This window comes from Homo sapiens, chromosome 16 (genome assembly GCF_000001405.40).
Source record: "Homo sapiens chromosome 16, GRCh38.p14 Primary Assembly".
NCBI lineage: Eukaryota > Metazoa > Chordata > Mammalia > Primates > Hominidae > Homo > Homo sapiens.
This window is the reverse complement of record NC_000016.10, coordinates 51,477,276-51,496,534: the sequence shown is the minus strand read 5'-3', so window position 1 is coordinate 51,496,534 and position 19,259 is coordinate 51,477,276. Positions and strand designations below refer to the sequence as shown.

The 19,259-nt window shown below is 38.3% G+C and overlaps 1 long non-coding RNA gene across 4 annotated transcripts in view; it reads left to right on the top strand.

Annotated features, from left to right (window-relative positions):
* The window catches only part of LOC102723323 (uncharacterized), a 137,467-nt gene that overhangs the window by 28,599 nt on the left and 89,609 nt on the right, over positions 1 to 19,259 (top strand). For 2 of the 4 annotated variants that reach the window (XR_933558.3, XR_001752179.2), the window contains exon 2: positions 1,329 to 1,433. This is a non-coding gene — a long non-coding RNA (uncharacterized LOC102723323). Of the gene's footprint in view, positions 1 to 1,328; positions 1,434 to 2,734; positions 3,370 to 6,158; positions 7,362 to 19,259 lie in introns of those variants that run through there. The other 2 variants (XR_001752180.2, XR_002957885.2) reach the window with 2 other exon arrangements.

Sequence of the window (19,259 nt, the reverse complement as noted above, 5' to 3'; positions counted from 1 at the left end):
TTACTCAGATGAATCTGAGCCCTGATGGATGGATGGTGAGTTAGCCAAGTGATCTTCCCTGGGCTGTTCCATAAAAACAATTGATAACCAAGGAGATAAGTTATGTGCAGTTGAGCTGCCCTTTAATACAGAACTATTGAATTATTGAAAATTCTTTCCTATCTAATTGACACCAAACAAAAGAATGGTCAACAATTGCAAGAGATATAGTGAAGATTAGTGATCATTTCAGAGCTGATGACATTTGAAGATGGAAGGCCTAGAACAAAAGGTTACAAACTGCAAACTCCAAGTTCTTTCTGCAATCCTTCTCCCCTCTCCCCGTCCTCCCTCCCCACACCAAATTTTTGTGTTTAGATAAAAATGCAGTGAGGGTTTTAAAGATATATTATTGCTAAGCTGTCATCCTTTTGTACTTCCTCAATTTATTTTTCTAGACTCATTGGAAGTCAAAATATAACGTAGATCCAGAGTGGGTATCAAATCCCAATGGGCTTCCTTAATTGACAGAGAATTAGAGCTACATTTCAGAATTGGAAAGAATAAAATACTGAAAACACTTCACCCACGCCACTTGGTTTTCTTTTTCCCAATAGATTTTTCCAAGGGAAATTGAGTCCATATGCTCTGATCCATTTTCTCAAGAATCATCAAGATGTTGTTTTATTAGAGCTATTTGACGGAGCATTTTATCTATTTCAATGAGCCCTTTGATGTCCCATTTCTTAGTCTTGGAAAATTGGGTATGGAGAAAAGACAAAGATATACCCTCTAACTTTCCACACCCAACAAGAAAAAAAAAAAAAAGGAAATGCTTCTTAGCCACAGAAAAGTTAAGGAAACTGCTCAGGGATTTTCCTAACTGACTAAATTACAATGCCTTGGCTTTAAAAAAAAAAAATGAAACATCAGAAGAGCTTTAGCAATAAGGATTCTGCTTTAGGTCATTTTTTAAGAGGATGTCCTCATTTTCTTTTGAGACTAGCCTTTTTTATCTATTTCGCCTTTCTAAAATGCCATGGTGAGGGGGTGGCTGGTACCCGGTAGGAGAGAGATTCACATGCATAGGAAAACATTTAAGGAAGGAGGAAGCAGCCGTATTTGGATGATTTTGCATTTCTGTATCTCATTGTATTTTATTTCTATTGGTCTTTCATGAGACTAAGCCTTCCATCCTGGATTGTGTGTCATGCAGAGACCCTGGAGCTCAGGCAAATTTAAATCACTGTCTTGACCATCATTTAACTATATCACATGCGTAGAAACCGATGCGTGCTTCTGTGTACAAACATACATGTGAGTATGTATATGTGCTTGTTCCCATGCAGACATGCTGCTCCCAAACAGTGCCTTTGAATCAAGACCCAGTCATCGTATTCGAAGAAAAAGGAAATATCCCTGACCATGTTGGGACTTAACACTGCTTCACAGAGGTACTGTAGACATAGTTTCTTCATCTGTTCATAAAAGTTCTGTTGACCCATTGTCTATAGAACTGGGTAGGAGTAAGAGATTGAAATATTTACATAGTCCTTTGGTAATCTGGTGAAACAAAGACTATTCATTACCTTTTTCTTTTAGCCCAAGTCTATTCTGTGAGTGCCTCCTGTGTGACTGTTTCTGCGCTAACTGCTAAAGTGCATGGTGTAGAAGAAAGACTGTTTTATCTGCCAGTAGTCAGAGTGGAGGGGAAAAGGAAGCAAGTGATAAAGCCCAAAACAGTCAGAAGATTGTCTGGGAATGTGTTTTGGCAAAATTGTGAACATTTATACAAATGAAAGGTCATAATCACTCAATGTGCAAAACATTTTAAGGAGATCAACAGGTTAACTTACAATGTTATTGCAACAAGGTTACTATGAAAGTGAGATGAGTGAGGTGTCTTGGGCACAAAATTTAAGGAAGTGCTCACTCTCAGCCATCAACCCTGTACTTGCAGGACTGAGTGAGCACCTTATTCTCATAAAGTGAGGAAAATTATCACCCATTTTACAGTTGAAGAAACTGAGGCTTGGGGCTGGGGGAGTGGCTCAAGAAACATTTTTACTAAATGATCAATTCAGGATTGTACTGTCCTATTTTCACATTGCTATAAATAACTACCTGAGACTGGGTAATTTATAAAGAAAACAGGTTTAATTGACTCACAGTTCCACATGGCTTGGGAGGCCTCAGGAAACTTACAGTCATGGCAGAAGGTGAAGGTGAAGTAAGCACCTTCTCACAAGGCAGCCAGTAGGAGAGAGAGAGAGCAAGGAGGGGAGGGCCACAATTTAAACCCATCAGATATCATGAGAACTCACTATCATGAGAACAGCAAAAGGGAAATTAGCCCCAGTGATCCAATGGTCTCCCATCCGGCCTCTCCTCTGACACATGGGGATTATTATTTGGGATGAGAATTGGATGGGAACACAGACCCAAACCATTTAAAGGGCTTTGGATCTCCAGAGATTGCCTCTTAACCACCGTGGATGCTGAGTAATGACCTTCAGCTACTTAGAAAAGGTGGCTTAGAGATGGAAAGTAGAAAAAGTAGGGAAGGAAGGGCATCTGGAGAGAAGGGAAAATAATATATATGACAAGCCAGACAGTGCCAAGAAAGAAAAGAATCCCCATGCTGCCAGATGGGATGAGGAAAAGAGATTGCACACAGTCCTAGGGTAACTGGAGTTCTATCGGCTTCTGGGCAGCCCTTCTACTGATCAGAGTCTTTCTTCTTTCCTCACGCCAGCTACCCAAACCAAGGAGAATACCAACGTGAATTGTCTTTCCACCTGTTGTGTGGGGCCAGCAATTATTCTTTTAGCTTGACGCGTTAACCCACCTGCTCCCTGTGGCCCTGGGATGCTCTGCCATCCCCCGTGGCTGCCAGTTCACTTAGGGTAGACTTATGGCAGAGGGATGTCAATTTTGCTTGAACTGCTCAATCACTGCTGACATTTCGTTAACCACCCTATGAACTTCTCAAGCCTGAAGTAGCAGCAACTTGTGCCCTTGAAAACTGAACAGAAAACAACTGTATTGATTTTCTACTATCAACAAGAAAAAGACAATTTCTCTTTGCTGAGAATGTTCATAATGCATTTTACACCACTTATTCTCGGCAGTCCACCTCTTCCTGATATATTGTTGGGCCTCTTTAAACCCCTGCTGCTTTAGACTCTGCTAGAATTAACCCTGAAATGCCAGCACCATCTCAAGCCCTTCCAGTTCCCGGATAGAAATGTTCATCAGTGCTGAATTGACAGCCTACTTAGGCAAGGGAGCTGTGATCATTTAGAAATTACAAAGGAACTCAGGCCTGGGTGAAGGGTTTGGGGTTGGGACACTAGGAATCTCTTTTAGTAAAATTCTCTTTTAAAAGAACATATCTCTTTGGTTTGTTAAAAGCACTAATGATGTCTATATGATATTTTGGAGATATATCAGCATATACACTGACCAAACTGATTGAATAGGAAGTAATTTTCAGTAATTTTTACCACTCATGCAACCATTCTTGCTAACTCAAGACCCAAGATTTAACTTGTGTATGATTATTCCAAATTACCAGGCCTTTCTTTTCTTTTTCAACCTGCATTAAAAAAAAAAAAAAAAAAAAAAAAAAACTATCAGGCATGCCCTAATAGTTCCATTTTTTTTGAAATTTCCAACATACCAAAAAGAGACTCCAAGGAACTGAAAGAGATTCAAGAAGCTTGAAAAAGCAAGCCTGACCCTCTGGGACAACTGTAGTGTCAAAAGCAGTCAATATTTATGCCTAGCAACCTTGACAATATCCTTTTAATTAAAATCAATGGAGAAATAAAACATGCATTAGAATGCACGTGGGATCACTCACCTCACGAGACAGAGAAGGAAGACTCTGATATTATGCACGATGTGATTATGACAAGACGCTGGATCTTCTGTATGAGACATGGGTTCTGGTATTTGCAATTAGATCTCTTCTTTTGACGGTTGTTTTCATTTAGTGTTATTATTTTCGTTTTCAGTTTTTTGTTGGTTTCTCATTTGGTGCAACTTTCTTGAGACACATGTTAAAAAACATACACAGAACAATCTTAGCTGGGTGTGGTGGCTCACTCCTGCAATCCCAGGACTTTGGAAGGCCAAGGAGGGAAGGTTTCTTGAGCCCAGGAGTTCGAGACCAGCCTGGCCCACATGGCGAAACCTCTACTAAAAATGCAAAAATTAGGCGGGTGTGATGGTGGGCACCTGTAATCCTGGCTACTCAGGAGGCTGAGGCAGGAGAATTGCTTGAACCCGGGAAGCAGAGGTTGCAGTGAGCTGAGATCATGCCACTGCACTCCAGCCTGGGTGATAGAGCAAGACTCTGTCTCAAAAAAAGAAAAGAAAAAAGAAAGAGATTTTAAAAATTTCCTGGGTGTGATGGCACATGCCTGTAGTCCCAGCTACTTGGTAGGCTGAGGTAGGATCACCTGAGCATGTTGAGGCTGCAGGGAGCTATGATTGTGCCAGTTTGGGTGACAGGGCAAGACCCTGTCTCAAAAAAAAAAATTAAAGTAGAAACTTCTTGTAAAGTCAGATAATATGTTTATCAGGTTCAAACTATAACCTCGATTTGATGTGGCAATTGAAAAAAACAGGGAAGGAGACCACAGAGTTTAGGAGAATGGTGTTCTTTTGGTAGCTCTGCCTCCAACTAGCCATATGACCTTGAGGGGTGTGTGGGGGCATCATAGGCAACATCTTTGAGTCTCAGCTGCCCCTTCTCTAAAATGAAATGGTTAGTCTCAATTCTATGAGTTTCTTTTGGCTCCCTGTAAACATTCTATTAGACCAGTGATTTTTAAAATAATAGCAACTATTGTTCATTGAACACTCCCCATGTATAATGCAAGAATTCTCTCAGTCAATGAGATAGCAGGTCCCATAATTGTTTCCATTTTATGGATGTGGAAACTGAAGCTGAAGAGATGGAGCCATTCTCTCATGTACCACCAGCTGGCTGAAGTGTGAATGTATTCAAAGGCTATGCGCATCACCATTGTCTCACACCACCTCCCCGGAGTCTATGGAAGGTAGAAGGGCCTTAGGTCCGAAAGATGCCCCTAGTTTCCCTCTGTAGACTTTGAAGGGTCTTCTGACTGTGCCTTCCAGCTAGCAGATTTCTCTAGAGCTCACTTGGCTTGGGGACGCTTCACTTAACCTCAGGCCACTTCCACTGCTGCAGAGTTCACCTAACCTGAACCTAGACAACTTTTCTATACATCCAGATTTTGTTTCAAAGGCTCTCATGCAGGCAGGCTTAACAATGACAAGTTAAGTTTCCCAAGAATAGAAGGCAATTTAACACTGTCCTCTCTGGCAGGGCCAGGCAGATTAACCATCAGATATCAGCACTTTATAAAATCCAAGCATCACAGAGGTATTTTTGTTTGTTTGCTTTTCTCATGTGGCTGGGCTCCTCTCAGATTGCAAAGAACCGCTTCTCTGGAGCTTGCAGGACGACTCTCATGTTGTTAAAAGCTTCCCTTCCTTATCTCACTTCCTAATCGCCAAAGAGGGATTTGAGAGCCTTCGACACTGGTTTTTCCTCTTCAAGGATCTGCTAGTGCTGGACTAATTAATGGAAAGGGCCCGGAGATGAGTTCCTTCAAAAATTATGGAATGTTCTAATCAGACGGGTAAGCAAAAAGCTTGACCTCTAGGTCAGAGGGTCACTCTCAAATAATACGATGGATTCAACTATTACTGTCATTTTATGTTACTCCAAAAGGGTGAGAACAGAGGTTAAAGTAGGCCCTGAGGGTCAAAGCGACGCCCATGTTTCTGCTATAGAAGTGATCAGTTCAAGAACATTCTTCATGTATCCCCAAAGTCTTCAAAACCTGGCTCTGCTTGTAAGCAGTTCTCACCTTGTCAGTTTCCATTACTGGAAAATGTTTCACCAGTTCTCTCTTCCATGTGCCTTCCTGTCACTGTTGCTGGGCGTTCCTCCCTGTCTCCATCAAACTCACTGCTTCCCCCCTCCACCTAGTATTAACCCCCAATTCCCCAAAGTTCTTGTTCACTTTTTAGTACTTATTTTAATTATGAAATATTTGAAATATATGTTTGTAAGTTTGGAAAGTTTCTCCTGTAGAGAAGATGGAGCAGATGAATATTTCACTATTCTTTGCTAATTACAGCTAAAACATCCTTGGGCATTACATATGAAACCAACATACAAAGACTGTAAAAGTTGAAGAGAAGAAGGCAGATAAGCTAGAGACTTTAGGACCCACAGAACAACGTGGTGGCAAGTTCCCTGGGCTTTCTTTTTGCCTCATATACCCCAGACCTGAAGCTGAAGAAGACAGCACCCTGGAATGGTCACTGGATATAGATGAAAACGACAATAATAACAAGTTGCTGTTTCTAGCCAAAGTGATGGCAGCACATGATGGATGCAGCAGGGAGGCTCGGCTGGGGCTGCACACTCCATGGAGCCAGTAGAAGCCCCATCCCTTCTGAGTTGGGGCAGGAGCTCCTAGGGTACTGCTGCAGCTGCCCAAACCACAGGCTGCAGACCCAAACTGCAGCTGTAGCCACCCAAACTGTGGCTGTGAATCCGAGCTTCTCTGTGCTCTTGGGGGGAACCGGTAGTGGGCGGGATCTGCCCTCCTGGGTGCCCAACCCACGGCTGCAGACCTGGGCCTCCCATTCCACAGAGTATACAGGAGCTGGGGACAAGTGGAAGCCCTGCCCCTTCCGAGTTTGCAGAGCAGAAGCTCCCCGAGTGCTGCTGCAGCAGCCCTCCCAGGAGCAAGGCCTGGGCATCTCTGCAGCCTGTGTCCTCAGGGCCCAGGAAGGGTTTCCCAATCCCTGTAGGCTCAGAGGTGTCTGCTCCTGTTGTCTGGCCTCTCTCCTTTCCCTGTGCCAGCTCCAGTCTTGGAGCAGGGTTGGCAATGTGCGCCAGGGGCCATGAATGGCAGCAGGAGTCAGCTAGATCCCTGGGTGGAAAACAATAGTCCAGGGTAAGGCCTCACCTTCAGGCCAGGGAGAGGCTGAAGGCTGGGGGCTTGACTGCCAGTCCACAGACCAGAATAGGGAGTTGTAGTGCCTCCTGCTGCCTGCCCGTTGTCACCTGTGGATCAATCTGTATGCACTTCCTCCCCTCTGAGGTCCATAAAAGCCCCAGGTTCAGCCAGAGCAGGGCAGAGGACAGAGGACAGAGAGATGACAGGATGACCAGCCTGCAGAGAGGAGCTACCCTCTCCAGGGCCTCCTCTCTGCTGAGAGCTGAACACTTGACAGGACGACCTGCCTACAGAGAGGAGCTACCCACTGCAGGTCTCCTCTGAGCTGTTCTAACACTAAATAAAGCTCCTCTTCATCTTCTTCACCCTTCACTTGTCTATGTACCTCATTCTTCCTGGATGCCAGAAACTCTATCTTGTCTACAAAAACTCACTTCCTTGATAATGCTATAAGTATATTAAAAACAAAATAGTGGGAAAATACATCATGTAAATATTAAAACAAAATAGAGCAGAAGTAGCTATACTAATGTCATATAAATTAGACTTCAGAGCAAAAAAGATTAAGATTATCAGAGGCGGAGAATTACACCATATAATGATAAAAGGGTCAATTCACCAAGAAGATGTAGCAATCCTAAATGAGTTACAAAATAACAGAGTTACAAAATACGTGAAACATATTTAATAGAACTAAAAGGAGAAATAGCCATAGAAATAGAAATGGTGTAAAGCTTCATCATCACTCTATCAAAAATTAATAGATAACTATGTAGAATGTCAGCAAAGAAAGAACTCAATAGCACAATCAATATGCATTTATAGAATACTCTACTCAGCAATAGCAGAATATACATTACACATTCTTTTCAAATGTTTATGAAATATATACTAAAATGTGGGCTGGGTGTGGTGGCTCTCACTTGTAATCCCAGCACTTTGGGAGGCCAAGGCAGGTGGATCATTTGAGGTCAGGAGTTTGAGACCAGCCTGGCCAACACGGTAAAACCTCATCTCTACTAAAAATATAAAAATTAGCCAGATGTGGTGACACATGCCCGTAATCTCAGCTACTCGGCAGGCCAAGGCAGGAGAATTGCTTGGACCCAGGAGGCTGAGGTTGCAGTGAGCTGAGATCATGCCACTGCACTCCTGCCTGAGAGACAGATCAAGATTTCATTTCAAAATAAATAAATAAATAATGTATACTAAGGTGGATAATATTCTAGACTATAAAAAAAACCCAAAACACTTTTTAAAAATAGAAATTATATAGAGACCATGTTTTCCAACCACAGTGGAATCAAACCGGAAATCAATCACAGGAAGATGAAGTTAAAATCTTCAAACACTTGAAGACTAAAAGACACACTTCTCTTTTAAATAATCCACGAATCAAATAGGAATTCTCATGGGAAATAAAAAAAATTGTCAAACTGAGTAAGGATGAAAATATGACATCATAATTTGTAGAAAACAGTTAAAGCAGTGGTGAGAGAAAAGTTTACAGCATGAATTATCTATATTAGAAAAGAGTGAAATTCTCAAATAACCTAAGTTCCCACTTTAATAACCTAGAAAAAGAACTGCAAAGTATATCCAAAGTATGATAATGAAAGAAATAATAAAAATAATAGCAGAAATCAATGAGATTAGAAACAGAAAAACAACATTGGAAATCCTTACAACTTACAGATGGTTCTTGGAAAAGATCAGTAAAATTGACAATCCTCCAACAAGACCAACACAAATTACCAATATCCGAAATTAAATAAGGAATATCATATAGACTCTGTAGACTTCAAGAGAATAGTAAGGTAATACTAGAAACATCTCTAGCCACATAAATTTGACAACTTAGATAAAAATGGAGCAATTCCACAAAAGTACAAAGTATTGTATCATCTAATATGAAATAGAAATTTGAATAAAACTATAACTATTAGGAAATTGAGTTGATCATTTTAAAGCTGCCCCTCCCCCAACTCTTCTCCCCCAAAACCCACCCCCCAATCGAAGTACCTTGTTCCAGATGGTTACATTGGAAAATTCTAGGAAATATTTAAAGGAGAACTAACACTATTTCTACCCAATCACTGCCAAAAATAAAAATAAAAATAGAAAAGGAGTAAACACTGCTGTATCCATTTTATGAAGCTAGTATTACCCTGATATCCAAATTAGACCAAGACAGTACAAAACCAAAAACTACACAGCAATATCTCTCATAAATGTAGATGCAAAAATCCTTAAGAGAATATTAGCAATTAGAATTTAGCAATATATAAAAGAATTATACCCCATGGTCATTGGGGATTATTCCAAGGAAGAAAGGCTGGCTAGCTCAATTTTTAAAAATCAATCAGTGTAATCCATCACATTAAGAAGTGAAAGAAGTAAATTTATATGATTATATCAGTCAATGTGTAAAAAGTATTTGACTAAATTCAACACTCATTTCTGATTTTAAAAATCACTTTTATAAAATTAGAAATAGAGGAAATTACATCAATTGATAATGTGCAAAAAATCTATACTTAATATTATACTTAACTGTGAATGACTAAATACTTTCCTCTCTGATTGGGAAAAAGTCAAAGATTTTCACTCTCCCCTGTCTTATTTAACATAGTGCTGGTAGTTCTAGCCCATACAATAAGGCAGGAAAAGAGGTAATAAGTAAATTTGGCAAAGTTGCAGGATACAAGATCCACTTACAAAACTCAATTATATTTCTGTATGCTAATAATAAAAAGATAGTCACCAAAACTAAACATACAATACCATTTACAATTACTTGAGAATAATTTAAATGATTAATTATAAATCTGACAAAATATGTACAGGACTTTAATGCTGAAAACTGTAAAACACAGATGAAAAAAGTAAAAGAAGTTCTAAACAAATGGCAAGACATATCATGTATATGGGTTGAAAGACTCAACATAAAAATGTCAATACTCCCCAAATGGATGAACAGGTTTAACCTAATTTTTATCAAAATGTCAATAATACTTTGTGTAGATATAAACTAGATTATTCTAAAATTTATATGTAAGTGCAAATAAACTAGAATACTTTTTCAATAAATGCTGCTAGACCAGTGGACACCCATAAACAAACAAACAAACAAAAACAAGAAAAATCAAAAGAATATTGATCTAAGGCTTATAATTTATACAAAAAAATAAATCATAAAGAGTGATGCCAGCAAAAATGGTGGCATTAGAGCCACCAAAAGTTTGTCCCTTTATAGAAGAGCAATGAAAAAGCTAAGAAAAAAAAAGTGGTCAGAATCAACTTTTTCAGAACTCTGGAAATTAATCAAAGGCTTGCGGCAACCCAAGAGATGTTTAGGCAAGAAAAATTGCTAAATCTTAATAAGAACAGTGAGCTTTGTGGCATTTTAACTTATATTAGTCCCATTAACCACTCTCCAGCTCTTTGTTAGCCTAGAAAAATAAAAGCATTGAATCCCAGCATCAGAGGAAAGAGAGCTACCATATTCCCTAAAAATGTTTTGTTTCATCTGTTTAAAGGCTTCCTAAAATACCCAACTGGAAAGGCTGGTGTTTTGGTGGGGCTTACTCAAATTTGCCCAATGCTAAACACCTCTTTCTGGGGGCATTTGTCAAATGTCTTAACATCACAGCTGCCTCAAGTGATGGATAACAGTTGGGGCAAACAATAAACTAACAAAAGAGCTTGACAGGAAAATCTGAAAAGTGAAATACTTTTAGGGTCTTTGACATATTTCTGAGAAGCTAGAAGTCTACATATATGACCAGAGCTGTGCACAGCTGTGCACATGCTTATGAAAGACCAGAGTAGGTCCTAATCTCTCAGAGACTTGACTGACCTCAAGTCTCTGCCCAAGCAGGAAGTGAAGGCTAAGGCAGAGTTGTAATCACCTGGCTGAGTGTTAAAGGCATTCCCCACCATATACACAGAGTCACTCAAAAAAGACTGGGAGACATATTAGCTCTAGGCCTTTAAGGAAATTTTTGTCCAATCATTAGCTGACCATGAAGCTAATTGAATAGAGATTTCAATGGCCACATACTACAAAGATACAGACTTTACAGAATTAGTTCAGAAAAATAAAAACAAAAAAACAGTAACAACTACAACAGGAAGTAACAACAGATCTTGGGGAATACAGATGGTCTGATTTGCAGAGTCACATATTATATAATTGGAAATGTGTTCTTTTCAACAAAAAATTATAGAACCTGTAAGTAAACAAGAACTTATGATCCTTACCTAGAAAAAGAAATATGCAATCTATAGAAACCATCCCAGAGAAAGCTCAGAGGCTGGACTTACAAGAAAAAGACTTTAAATCAGCTATTTTAAATGTTTGAAAAGCTGAAAGAAGTCATGTCTAAAAAACTAAAGGAAAGTATGTAAATAATGTTTTACCAAATAAAGATGATCAATAAGGAGATTGAAATGATAAGGAATCAAATAGAAATTTGGGGACTGAATAGTAATTTTGTAAACTAAAGTAAAACTAACATAAAAAATTCACTGGAAAGTCTTAATAGCATTTCAGCATGCAAAAGAATAAGTCAACTTGAAAGTAGGTAAATTGAGATTATCCAGGCTAAGAAACAGAAAGAAGAATGAATAAAAATAAACAGTCCAGCAAAGACTTATGGGACTTGATTGTTGTACACTATCAAGTGTACAAACATGCATAATGGAAGTCTTAATGGGAAAACAGAGAGAGAAAGGGGTAAAGAAAATATTTGAAGAAATAATACCCCAAAACTGCCCTCATTTTATGAAAAACATTAATTTACTCATTGAAAAAGCTTAGTGAACTCCAAGTAGCATATACTAAAAGAGATCAACACCTAGGCTCATTATAATCAAACTACAAAATTCAAAGACAAAGAGAGAATCTTGGAAACAGGCAAGAAACAATTTATTATGTATAAAAGACCCCCAATAAGATTAACAGCTGGTTCCTTAGCAGAAACCATGAAGGCCAGAAAATATTGAGATGACATTTTTGAAAGAAAAAACTGTTGACCAGGTTTTTTATATCTGGTCCAACTTCATGGAGAAAGGAGAAATTAAGAATTCCCAGATAAAGAAAAACTCACAGAATTTGTCACCAGCAGACCTGCCTCACAAGAAATACTAAAAGCAGCCCTTCTGGCTGAAATACAAGGACACCAGACAGTAACTTGAATCCACAATAAACAGAACACCAGAAAAGCAACTACACAGATGGAGATAAAGTATGAATGTATTTTCTGTTTTCATCCTGATTCAAAAGACAACTTCATAATGCAATAAATCTAAAGAAGGGCACATACTATATAAAGATTTAACTTATGAAAATAACAGCAAAATAGGAGGAGAGGAATGAAGCCATATATGAGCAAGTTTTAATATTCTATTTAAATTTAGTTGGTAATAAAACAAATCAATTTTTTTTTATAAATTAAGATATTGATGGTAATATTCAGGACAATTGCCAAGAAAATAATTCAAAAACATGTAGTGAAGAAAACAAGAAACTTTAAATGGCACACTAGAAACTATTTAACACAAATGGAGACAACAGTGGAGGAACTGATGAACAAAAAAGAAAGACATATAGAAAACAAATGACAAAATGGCACCTGAAAATCCTATCATATCAGTAATTACATTTTAATGGATTAAAGTTTCTAATTAAAAGTCAGATAATAAATGGTGCTGAAAAAACTAGATATCCACATGCAGAAGAATAAAGCAAGACATCTATCTTTCACCATACACAAAAATCAACTCATAATGGATTAAAGATTTAAATGGAAGACCCCAAATGGTAAAACTACTAGAAGGAAACATTGGAAATGTGCTTCATGACATTGGTATGGGCAAATAATTTTTGGATAAGACCCACAAAGGGAAGCCCATCAGACTAACAGCGGATCTCTCTGCAGAAACCCTACAAGCCAGAAGAGAGTGGGGGCCAATATTCAACATTCTTAAAGAAAAGAATTTTCAACCCAGAATTTCATATCCAGCCAAACTAAGCTTCATAAGTGAAGGAGAAATAAAATATGTTACAGACAAGCAAATGTTCAGAGATTTTGTCACCACCAGGCCTGCCTTACAAGAGCTCCTGCAGGAAGCCCTAAACATGGAAAGAAACAAGCAGTACCAGCCACTGCAAAAACAGGCCAAATTGTAAAGACCATTGATGCTATTAAGACACTGAATCAATTAATAGGCAAAATAACTAGCTAACATCATAATGACAGGATCAAATTCACACATAACAATATTAACCTTAAATGTAAATGGGCTAAATGCCCCAATTAAAAGACACAGATTGGCAAATTCGATAGAGAGTCAAGACCCATCAGTGTGCTGTATTCAGGAGGCCCATCTCACATGCAAAGACACGCATAGGCTCAAAATAAAGGGATGAAGGAAGATTTACCAAGCAAATGGAAAGCAAAAAAAAGCAGAGGTTGCAATCCTAGTCTCGGATAAAACAGACTTTAAACCAACAAAGATCAAAAGAGACAAAGAAGGCCATTACACAATGGTAAAGGGATCAACTCAACAAGAAGAGCTAACTATCCTAAATATATATGCACCCAATACAGAAGCACCCAGATTCGTAAAGCAAGTCCTTAGAGACCTACAAAGAGACCTAGACTCCCACACAATAATAATGGGAGACTTTAACACCTCACTGTTAGTATTAGACAGCTCAATGTGACAGAAGGTTAACAAGGATATCCAGGACCTGAACTCAGCTCTGCAACAAGCAGACCTAACAGACATCTACAGAACACTCCAGCCCAAATAAACAGAATATACATTCTTCTCAGCACATCACACTTATTCTAAAATTGACCGCATAGTTGGAAGTAAAGCACTCCTCAGCAAATGTAAAAGAACAGAAATCACAACAAACTGCCTATCAGATCACAGTGCAATCAAATTAGACCTCAGGATTAAGAAATTCACTCAAAACCGCACAACTACATGGAATCTGAACAACTTGCTCCTGAATGACTCCTGGGTAAACAACGAAATGAATGCAGAAATAAAGATGTTCTTTGAAACCAATGAGAACAAAGAAACAATGTACCAGAATCTCTGTGACATATTTAAAACAGTGTGTAGATGGAAATTTATGCACTAAATGCCCACAAAAGAAAGCAGGAAAGATCTAAAATTGACACCCTAGCATCACAATTAAAAGAACTAGAGAAGCAAGAGCAAACAATTCAAAAGCTAGCAGAAGGCAAGAAATAACTAAGATCAGAGCAGAACAGAAGGAGATAGACATACAAAAAACCCTTCAAAAAATCAATGAATCCAGGAGCTGTTTTTCTGAAAAGATCAACAAAATTGGTAGACCACTAACAAGACTAATAAAGAGGAAAAGAGAGAAGAATCAAATAGATGCAATAAAAAATGATAAAGGGGTTATCACCGCTGATCCCACAGAAATACAATCTACCATCAGAGAATACTAGAAACACCTCACACAAATAAACTAGAAAATCTAGAAGAAATGGATAAGTTCCTGGACACATACACCCTCCCAAGACTAAACCAGGAAGAAGATGAATCTCTGAATAGACAAATAACAGGCTGTGAAAATGAGGCAATAATTAATAGCCTACCAACCAAAAAAAGTCCAGGACCAGATGGATTCACAGCCAAATTCTACCACAGTTATAAAGAGGATCTGGTACCATTCCTTCTGAAACTATTCCCATCAATAGAAAAAGAGGGAATCATCCCTAACCCATTTTATGAGGCCAACATCATCCTGATACCAAAGCCTGGCAGAGACACAACAAAAAAAGAAAATTTTAGACCAATATCCCTGATGAACATTGATGCAAAAATCCTCAATAAAATACTGGCAAACCAAATCCAGCAGCACATCAAAAAGCTTATCCACCATGATCAAGTGGGCTTCATCCCTGGGATGCAAGGCTGGTTCAACATAAGCAAATCAATAAATGTAATCCAGCACATAAACAGAACCAATGACAAAAACCACATGATTATCCCAATAGATGCAGAAAAGACCTTCAACAAAATTCAGTAACCCTTCATGCTAAAAACTCTCAATAAACTAGGTATTGATGGAACGTATCACAAAATAATAAGAGCTATTTATGACAAACCCACAGCCAGTATCATACTGAATGGGCAAAAACTGCAAGCATTCCCTTTGAAAACTGGCACAAGACAGGGATGCCCTCTCTCACCACAACTATTCAACTTAGTGTTGGAAGTTTTGGCCAGAGTAATGAGGCAAGAGAAAGAAATAAAGGGTATTCAGCTAGGAAAGGAGAAAGTCAAATTGTCCCTGTTTGCAGATGACACAATTGTATATTTAGAAAACCCCTTTGTCTCAGCCCAAAATCTGCTTAAGCTGATAAGCAACTTCAGCAAAGTCTCAGGATACAAAATCAATGTGCAAAAATCACAAGCATTCCTATACACCAGTAACAGACAAACAGAGAGCCAAATCATAAGTGAATTCCCATTCACAATTGCTTCAAAGAGAATAAAATACCTAGGAATCCAACTTACAAGGGATGTGAAGGACCTCTTCAAGGAGAACTACAAACCACTGCTCAAGGAAATAAAAGAGGACACAAACAAATGGAAGAATATTCCATGCTCATGGATAGGAAGAATCAATATCGTGAAAATGGCCATAGTGTCCAAAGCAATTTGTAGATTCAGTGCCATCTCCATCAAGCTACCAGTGACTTTCTTCACAGAATTGGAAAAAACTACTTTAAAGTTCATATGGAACCAAAAAGAGCCTGCACTGCCAAGACAATCCTAAGCAAAAAGAACAAACCTGGAGGCATCACACTACCTGACTTCAAACTATACTACAAGGCTACAGTAACCAAAACAGCATGGTACTGGTACCAAAACAGATATCTAGACCAATGGAACAGAACAGAGGCCTCAGAAATAACACCACACATCTACAACCATCTGATCTTTGACAAACCTGACAAAAACAAGAAATGGGGAAAGGACTTCCTATTTAGTAAAGGGTGCTGGGAAAACTGGCTAGCCATATGTAGAAAGCTGAAACTGGATCCTTTCCTTACACCTTATACAAAAGTTAATTCAAGATGGATTAAAGACTTAAACGTTAGACCTAAAACTGTAAAAACCCTAGAAGAAAACCTAGCCAATACCATTCAGGACATAGGCATGGACAAGGACTTTATGACTAAAACACCAAAAGCAATGGCAACAAAAGCCAAAATAGACAAATGGGATCTAATTAAACTAAAGAGCTTCTGCACAGCAAAGGAAACTACCATCAGAGTGAACAGGCAACCTACAGAATGGGAGAAAATTTTTGCAATCTACCCATCTGACAAAGGGCTAATATCCAGAATCTACAAAGAACTCAAACAAATTTACAAGAAAAAATCAAACAACCCCATCAAAAAGTGGGCAGAGGATATGAACAGACATTTCTCAAAAGAAGACATCTATGCAGCCAACAGACACATGAAAAAATGCTCATCATCATTGGTCATCAGAGCAATGCAAATCAAAACCACAATGAGATACCATCTCATGCCAGTTAGAATGGCAATCATTAAAAAGTCAGGAAACAACAGATGCTGGAGAGGATGTGGAGAAATAGGAAGGCTTTTACACTGTTGATGGGAGTGTAAATTAGTTCAACCATTGTGGAAGACAGTGTGGCAATTCATCAAGGATCTAGAACTAGAACGATTTGACCCAGCAATCCCATTACTGGGTATATACCCAAAAGATTATAAATCATGCTACTATAAAGACACATGCACATGTATGTTTATTGCAGCACTGTTCACAATAGCAGACTTGGAACCAACCCAAATGTCCATCAATGATAGACTGGATTAAGAAAATGTGGCACATATACACCATGGAATACTATGCAGCCATAAAAAAGGATGAGTTCATGTCCTTTGCAGGGACATGGATAAAGCTGGAAACCATCTTTCTCAGCAAACTATCACAAGGACAGAAAACCAAACACCGCATGTTCTCACTCATAGGTGGGAATTGAACAATGAGACTTGGACCCAGGGCGGGGAACATCACACACCGGGGCCTGTCAGGGAGCAGAGGGCTGAAGGAGGGATAGCATTAGGAGAAATACCTAATGTAAATGATGAGTTGATGGTTGCAGCAAACCAACATAGCACATGTATACCTATGTATCAAACCTGCACATTGTGTACATGTACCCTAGAATTTAAAGCATAATTAAAATATATATATACATATATATATACACATATATATATATACATATATATATACACATATATATATATACATATATATATACACATATATATATATATATGGATAAGACCTTAAAAACACAGGCCGGGAGTGGTGGCTCACGCCAGTAATCCCAACACTTTGGGAAGCCAAGGCGGGTGAATCACCTGAGGTTGGAAGTTCAAGACCAGTCTGTCCAACATGAAGAAACCCCACCTCTACTAAAAATACAAAATTAACCAGGTGTGGTACTGCATGCCTGTAATCCCAGCTACTCGGGAGGCTGAGGCAGGAGAATCACTTGAACCCAGGAGGTGGAGGTGGAGGTGAGCTGAGATTACGCCATTGCACTCCAGCCTGGGCAACAAGAGTGAAACAAGAGTGAAACTCTGTCTCAAAAAAAAAAAAAAAAAAAAACAGGCAGTAAAAATAAAAATAGACAAATAGGATTCCATCAAACTAAAAATCTTCTGCACAATAAAGGAAACAATCAATAAAGTGAAGAGACAACCTACAGAATAGGCTAAAACTGTGCATCTGACATATATTCTAACATTCAGAATATATAAGGAGCTCAAATAATTCAACAGCAAAACAACCAAATAATTCAATTTAAAAATGGCCAAAAGGTCTCAATAGATATTTCTCAAAAGAAGACAGAGAAACGGTCCACAAGTACATGAGAAAATGCTCAACAACACTAATCATCAGGGCAAATACAAATCAAAACTACAATGAGATATCACCTTTCCCCATTTAGAATGGTCACTATCAAAAAGACAAAAAATAACAAATGTTGGCATGGATGTGAAGAAAGGGGAATACTTACACACTGCTGGTGGGAATGTAAATTGGTATAGCCACTGTGGAAGATAGTGTGAAGTTTCCTCAAAAAATTAAAAGTAGAAATATAAAATCTAGCAATCCTACTACTGAATATTTATCTAAAGGAAATAAAATTAGTATGTCAGAGTATGAATTCTTATATTTATTGCAGCATTATTTACAATAGCTAAGATATGGAATCAACCTAAGTGTCCATCAGTTGATGAATAAATAAAGAAAATGTATATATACACAATGGACTACTATTCAGCCATGAAAAGAAGGAAATCCTGTCCCTCATGGCAACACAGATAAACCCGGAGGACATTATGTAAAGTAAAATAAGCCAGACACAGAAAGACAAATACTGAGTGATCTCACTTATATGTGGAATCTAAAGAAATTGATCTCACTGAAGTAGAGAATAGAAGAGTGGTTACCAGATGCTGGGGAGAGTAACAGGAAGGGGAATATGGAGAGATTGGTCTATGTGTACAAAGTTACAGTTAGAGACGAGGAATAAGCTCTGATGTTCTATCACACAGGAGGGTAGCTATGGTTGACAATTTTGTATTATACATTCCAAAATAGCTAGAAGAGAGGATTTTGAATATTTCCACCACAGAGAATGATAAAATGTGTGAGGTGGTAGCTATACTAAATACCCTGATTTAATTATTACACAATGTATGCATGTATCAAAGCATTACCCTGTGCCCCATAAATATGTACAATTATTATGTCAATTAAAATAAGTAAAGTTTTAAAGGCAGAAATTGGTAGAATGAATATTTTAAAATTAACAAAGCATATATGTACCTAACAACAAAGGCTCAAAATACATAAAGCAAAGTCTGACAGGTTTGAAGGGACACACACAATTCAACTGTAATAGTTAGACCCTTCAATCCCTCACTTTGAATAACAAGTAGAACTAGACAGATCATCAAGGAAATAGAAAATTTGAACAACACTATTAGCCAACTAGAACTAACAGACATCTAGAGAGGACTGCAGCCAACAACAGCAGAATACACATTCTTCTCAAATGCATATAAAACGTTTTCCAGGCTAGACCATAAGTTAGGATGACCATAAAACAAGTGTCAATATGTTTAAAAGGGTTGAGGTCAAAGTATGTGTTACAGCCCC